This window comes from Homo sapiens, chromosome 22 (assembly GCF_000001405.40).
Source record: "Homo sapiens chromosome 22, GRCh38.p14 Primary Assembly".
Lineage (NCBI taxonomy): Eukaryota > Metazoa > Chordata > Mammalia > Primates > Hominidae > Homo > Homo sapiens.
Window position 1 is genome coordinate 24,523,067 of NC_000022.11, and position 7,029 is coordinate 24,530,095.

The 7,029-nt window shown below is 48.5% G+C and overlaps 1 protein-coding gene across 4 annotated transcripts in view, besides 1 other annotated feature; it reads left to right on the top strand.

Annotated features, from left to right (window-relative positions):
* Positions 1-5,324, top strand: part of UPB1 (beta-ureidopropionase 1) — a 33,059-nt gene extending 27,735 nt beyond the window's left edge. The window contains exons 9-10 of one of the 4 annotated variants that reach the window (NM_016327.3): positions 553-707; positions 2,645-5,324. In NM_016327.3, the coding sequence (NP_057411.1) occupies positions 553-707; positions 2,645-2,728 (239 nt within the window). In that variant the 3' untranslated portion in view covers positions 2,729-5,324. Of the gene's footprint in view, positions 1-552; positions 708-2,644 lie in introns of those variants that run through there. The other 3 variants (XR_001755249.2, XM_047441404.1, XM_047441405.1) reach the window with 3 other exon arrangements.
* Positions 2,673-2,852: an enhancer, noted in NCBI's record as "active region_18778". NCBI's record gives its function as "activates an Ori minimal core promoter by ATAC-STARR-seq in GM12878 lymphoblastoid cells {active_cell/tissue: GM12878}" and the evidence as "EXISTENCE:reporter gene assay evidence [ECO:0000049][PMID:35858748]".

Consider the following 7,029-nt stretch of genomic DNA (forward strand, 5'->3'; position numbering starts at 1 on the left):
TCCTAGTTAACTTACTGCAAATAGAGATGCAGAAAGGGCAGGGGAATGAGCGTCCACTGGGTGCCTGCTGCATCTGGGCCATGCTAGGCCCTGCCCAGCCCCACCTGCTCCTTACACATGTGTGGGGTGGCTGCTAGTCCTCCCTGACTGGTGAAGGGACCAAGGCCTGGAGGGAGGATAAGGGTGACGCAGCTGGCAAGGCAGATGAAGGCAGAGCCTCCAGCTCACTGTGAGGGCCCCCATAGGAAGCCCCCAGAGTGTGACTTTCTGTTTTCCTTAGGCTGTGGGTAGAAGTGACACCTCTCAGAAGGGTGACATTTAGACATTTCCCCAGGGGCAAAGGGAAGCAGCATAAGGGGGCCATTTGCAGCAATTTGCTGGGCCTTCAGGCCTGAGATGAGAGACAGGCCTTTTGGGCCTCAGCATTTGGCAGACACTGGGGAGGATGGCATGGACTCCGTGTCCTGGGCCTGCCTCAAGGTGCCTGACCCTCTGTGGAGCCCACAGTGCATCTACACAAGCTCACAGATGTGTTTCTTTGTTCCTTTAAAGCTCACCAGGACTTTGGCTACTTTTATGGCTCGAGCTATGTGGCAGCCCCTGACAGCAGCCGGACTCCTGGGCTGTCCCGTAGCCGGGATGGACTGCTAGTTGCTAAGCTCGACCTAAACCTCTGCCAGCAGGTGAATGATGTCTGGAACTTCAAGGTAGGTCCCCAGGACCCCTGTTGTTGCCTGCTCCTCTGCTTTGGCCCTCATCCTGCTCTCAGGAACTGCTGTTGCGGGGTTGCCCATGGCAGCATGAGGTACCAGCTCCCACCTGAGGGCTCTGTGTGAGCTGAGGGCTGAATCTCTGCCTCCTTGCTGGCTCCCGGGAGGAACAGTTGGGTCAAACAATGTACAAGCAGCAGGCTGCAATAAATTCTCCTCTCATCTGATTTAGATTCTGGGTGCCTTCAGACAAATTAATCTCAATTTCATTTGTCCAGAGAATAGAATGGATTGGCTCCTCTAATCCTTTTTCCTTTCCAGGCATTTGCACTTATCACAAGATAAATATGCATGTCTGGTTCTGCTTGTGGCCAGTCCCTGCAGTCTAGGCCTTGACGATAGCAGGAAATGGGTCATGCAGAGAAATGGAATCTAGGCCTGGCTCTGCCACAGCCTTCCTTCCTTGGTCACCTTAATTAAGCCCCTTGTGCTCCCAAGCCTTAGTACTCCCAGTTGTAAAATACGGGGCTTAACTCGAAGGTCCCATGCTGGCTTTGACACCTAATGCCCTGTGATGTCAGGAGTCAGAGGAATGGAGATGTCTGCCCTCCTGGGATGGGACTCCACCCTAGAAAGGCTCACAGCTTCAGAGTTTGCTGTATTAGTGTCCGAAAGTATTTCCACCAACTCAGCACCCCTTTTTCTTTTTTGGTGGAGTAGGGGGCATGGAGACAAGGTCTTGGCTCTGTCATCTAGGCTGGACCAATGGCACAGCCATAGATCATGGCAGCCTTGACCTCCTGGGCTCAAGCCATCCTCCCACCTCAGCCTCCCGAGTAACTGGGACTATAGGCGTGCACCACCACCACACCCAGCTAATTTTTAAAATTTTTTATAGAGACCGAGTCTCACTATGTTGCCCAGGCTGGTCTTGAACTCCTGGCTTCAAGCAATCCTCGCACCTCGGGCTCCCAAAATACCAGGATTATAGACATAAGCCACTGTGCCCTGCCTCAGCAACCTTTTATAAGCAAATTGTATATGCAAATGTCCATTGTTATAACTGACTTTGCCCGGTGTGACTAAAAGACCACCAGGGCCTCTAATCCACCCAGACATGGGCTTTTGGCCTTGATCCTGTTTTCTGAGCATGGGTTCCTCAGTCTCGGATCCTTGTCAGACAAACAAGGTATTGGGCATGAGAGAGTCTCCTGACCTCTCTCTCCTCTTCCTGGGCAACTAGGATGAATGTAGGATTCCACCCAAATCAGAAGGGAGCCAAGAATGCTGGCCAACTCTTTTTAATAAGTATCCCAGGAGCAGTAAACCAAATGTTTTCTCATTAGACACTTCTTAGAAGCAGAAGCCTTCCCAACTTTGGTAATGGGCCTGAGCTCCTGTCAAGGCTTTTGGGAGTAATCCACCTTGGGAAAGGAGGGAGGGAGGGAGGGTGTGCTGGGTGTGAGCACTGTGGGTGGGCTTTCCAACTCCACCAGCCTCTGTATCCACGATGAGATGCCACATGGAGTAGACAGAACTCCAGGCCCATCCAGGAGCCCCTGGTTCAAATCCCAGCCTTTTCTACAACTGGCTAGTGACCTGGAGCAGGTCACTCCTCTCTGGGCTGTAGGATGCTCTTCTGGGGAGCAACAGGACCACGGGACTCCCCTTCTCCATCCTGCCTCAGCAGACCACACTTTCTGGATAGACAGGTCGAAGGGGTCACAGCAGCCAATGCTGGGCTGTATGAGTCATTGTAGCATCTGTGAACTTTGCCACAGTACTAGAATCAGTGCCAAGAGGTCACTGTCAACGAGCCTTCCTGATGCGTTCCTGCCCCATGACTGCCCTCCAGTGGCAAGAGGTGGTGGCGTGTAAGTGATGGGGATTTATAAAACCAGAACCTCTAAAGTACATCTGTGTTTTGCTTTCAGATGACGGGCAGGTATGAGATGTACGCACGGGAGCTCGCCGAAGCTGTCAAGTCCAACTACAGCCCCACCATCGTGAAAGAGTAGCCGGCTTCAGTGCCTGCCTTGGGGTGAGGAAGACACCTCTGCCCCAGTGGATTAGCAAGTGTGGCAGGCTTAACATGTCCAGGTTCTCCCCAATAACATTGTCCAGGTTGGTTTTAAAATTCCCAGGCAGGGGGAGAGTGGCATGGGGAGTGACTTCTTAATGGGTAAGGGGCTGCTTACTTCTGGGGTATTGGAAATGTTTGGGGACTAGGTAGAGGTGAATGTACTAAATGCCACTGAATTTGTATACTTCAGAATGTTTGTTATGTAAATTTTACCTCAACTAAAAAAAAAAATGCCCAGGTACTGCTTGTGCAGGTGGATTTGAGGTTAGGCAGATGATGCTGTCCATCCCGTACACCAGTGGGAAGAGGGTGAGGGCTGATCCAGAGACCCTGAGCCTACAGCAAGGCTGTGGTGGGTCGGATGGTCTTTGGATGTGTCAGCTTAGCTAGGCCACAGTCACCAGTAATTCAATCAGACACTAATCTAGGTATTTCTGTGAAGGTATTTTGTAGATGTGACAGAAGTCCATTCCCAATTGACTAAGTAAGTGAGATTATCTCAGATAATCTGGGTCAGCCTGACCTGATTAGTCAGAAGGCCTAAAGAACAGAGCTAAGGGTTTCCCTGAGGAAGAAATTCTGCCTGAGGACAGCAGCCCAGTGCTTGGCGAGAGTTCCTGACAGTCTGCCCTTCTGATAGCCTGCCTCACAGAGTTTAGACATGACTAGCCAGCTCCTACAATCACTGAAGTCAATTCCTTGCAATAAATCTCAATATATCCCCTACTGGTTCTGCTTCTCTAGTTGAATCTGACTGATACAGATTTTGGTGCCAAAAGTGGTTCTAGAAAAATAGAATCTTAAAGATGAGTTTTCTGCATTGGTTCTGGATTTTTTTAGAATTCTTCCCTAGTTTGATTGAACTTAAAGGCATCAATGACTCTATTTCCATAGAGTCAGGGTAAAGAGGGTAGTTGGTAGTCCATGGCATGGTGCAGCAATAGTTATTTATGTGCGAGACTAGCCATCAGCCATCAGTTTGTGCCCAGAGTTCCAGCCTGCCCTTTCTGATGGCTTGTCCTGTGGATATCAGACTTGCCTGACCAGATTCCATCATCATAGAAGGTAATTTGTTGCACTAAATCCTTTTATATCTCTATCCATCACCTACTAATTCTGCTAGTTCTGCTAATGTGGTTGAGCTCCATTTTACACATCAGATTACTCACTTCTCTACACCTTGGTTTTTACATCTGTAAAATGGGACTGGGCCAGGTGTGGTGGGGTGGCTTATGCCTGTGATCCCAGCACTTTGGGAAGCCAAGGCAGGTGGATCACTTGAGGTCAGGAGTTCAAGACCAGCCTGGCCAACACGGCGAAACCCCGTCTCTACTAAAAATACAAAAATTAGCTGGGCATGGTGGCGCATGCCTATAATCCCAGCTACTCAGCAGGCTGAGGTATGAGAATTGCTTGAATCTGGGAGGCAAAGGCTGCAGTGAGCTGAGATCACGCCACTGTGCTCCAGCCTGGACAACAGAGTGAGAGCCTATCTCCAAAAAAAAAAAGGGGTGGGGACCATATTCCTGCTTTATGTCAAGACACTGGTAAGAGACAGACTAGATGGGCCAGGGAGCCCCTTGGCAGTTATCAGTGCAGCGCCTATTTAGCCCTGTCCCTGAACAACACGGCAAGAGCCCAACCTGCCAAGTCTCAAATAGCAGTTAACCAGAGTATCGGGTTGGAGGTGGGGTTGAGATTCTGTAATTCCCCGCTTATTGTTCCCAATCAGAGAAGGCAGCCAGAGAAGGCAGCTTCATCCCTTCACTGGCCCAGCAGCTGAACTATATGGAAACCTCCATGTCAGGGCTAGGGTACTCCTGGACAGCCACCAAGGATGAGAAACCCTGATGGAGCTGCCTGGCCACAGCTCTGCGGTAACTTCCTTGAACTCTCTGTGCTGCAGGTTTTCACTTTACCTAATGGCCCTTCTTGCACCTTTAAAAAAAAAAAAAAAAAATTCCAGTCCTACAGACACAGTGAGCTTTTTTGCCTGTTCCTTTAGCTTTCAAAATTTAGTGTCAGCCAAGGCGGGCAGATCACAAGGTCAAGAGATGGAAACCATCCTGGCCAACATGGTGAAACCCCATCTCTACTAAAAATACAAAAATTAGCTGGGTATGGTGGCGCACGCCTGTAGTCCCAGGTACTCAGCAGGCTGAGGGAGGAGAATCACTTGAACCCGGGAGGCGGAGGTTGCAGTGAGCCGAGATCACACCACTGCACTCCAGCTTGGCGACAGAGTGAGACTCCGTCTCAAAAAACAAAACAAAACAAAACACCTTAGTGTTTTTGGTTTCTAGAGGGTGTAATCAACCTAATACAGAAGCCAGCTTAGGTGACAAATTGGTACATTTGTGAAACAGGCATGAATAAATGGACCACAACTCTTTGATTATCTGCAACTCTCATTGCCTGGAAACAGAACAGTCAGGCCCATCTTAGAGTATGCAGGCCCTGTACAGCCAAGGTCATTTCAAGGTTTAACTCATCCCTGGAACATGCAGATGCTCAGTAAACATTTGAATGAATCTGTGGTGGAGGTTTTTGCTTCCTGGTGATCATTGCTGATGCTACAGGGCAGTCTCTCAGACAAGAAATTGCAGTGGTTCAGTGTACATGGCCTGCAGGCCTGTGGGCCCCTGTGCAATCTTGGATGAAGCCTTCTGACCCCTCAGTTTTCTCACCGGTAAGATAACAGGTGGCTGGGCTCAAGAATTTCTCCCTAGAAATTCTCAGTTCTGGAAGGCCACCTTCCTGCCAGGCTATAGCTTTATTGCCGGAATCTGGGGTGGAGTAGGTGAACTTCAGTGTGCCCAAAAGAAAAAAAGGAGGCTGTGCACAGTGGCTCACATCTGTAATCCCAGCACTTTGGGAGGCTGAGACAGGGGGATCACTTGAGCTCAGGAGTTGAAGACCAGCCTGGACAACATAGACCTTGTCTCTATAAAATTTAAAAAAAATTAATAGGAAAAAAAGGGCTAAGGCATTATTAAATATAAACCAGACCACGTATTAGACCACAAAAAATTCCCAGTAAACTTAAAGATTAAAATCATAAAAGTGTATTTTCCCATCACAATGGAACAAAACTAGAAATCAGTAGTTGAAAGTTTTAAAAATTAAACAATGGCCGGGTGCGGTGGCTCACGCCTGTAATCCCAGCACTTTGGGAGGCCGAGGCAGGTGGATCCCAAGGTCAGGAGATTGAGACCATCCTGGCTCACACAGTGAAACCCCATCTCTACTAAAAATACAAAAAATTAGCCAGGTGTGGTGGCAGGTGCCCGTAGTCCCAGCTACTCGGGAGGCTGAGGCAGGAGAATGTGAACCTGGGAGATGGAGCTTTCAGTGAGCCAAGATTGCCCCACTGCACTCCAGCCTGGGAGACAGAGCAAGACTCCATCTCAAAAAAAAAAAAAAAAAAATTAACACACTTTTTGTTTTCTGAGACAGAGTCTTGTTCTGACACAACTGTGGCTCACTGCAATCTCCGCCTCCCAGGTTCAAGTGATTCTCGTACCTCACCCTCCCAAATAGCTGGGACTACAGGCACATGCCACCATGCCTGGCTAATTTTTGTATTTTTAGTAGAGACAGGGTTTTGCCGTGTTGGCCAGGCTGGTTTTGAACTCCTGGTCTCAAGTGATCCGCCCGCCTCAACCTCCCAAAGTGCTGAGATTACAGGCATCAGCCACCCTTCCTGACCAACAACACACTTTTAAACAACCAATGGATCAAAAAAGAAATCATAAGGGAAGTTAGATATCTTGAGACACATGAAACAAAAACACACCGAAACCTGTGGGATACAGCAAAAGCAGTACTGAAAGAAATTTATAGCTATAAATGCTTACATTTAAAAAGAAGAGTCTAGGCATGGTGGTTCCCACCCATAATTCCAGCACTTTAGGAGGCTGAGGTGGGAGAATTGCCTGGCCCCTCTACAAAAAATTTAAAAATTAGCCAGGGATGGTGGTGCACACCTATAGTCCCAGCTATTCCAGAGGCTGAGGTGAGAGGATTGCTTGAGCCCAGGAGTTTGAGGCTGCAGTGAGCTAAGTGAGCTATGATGGCACCACTGCACTCTAGCTTGAGCAACAGAGCAAGATCCTGTCTCTAAAAAAAAAAAAACAAACAAACAAAACCAACTGAACTGTACACATTATTTACACATTAAGGCACAAAAAAAGAGCAAATGAAAGAGCTAACAGAAGGAAGCCAATAAGAACAGAG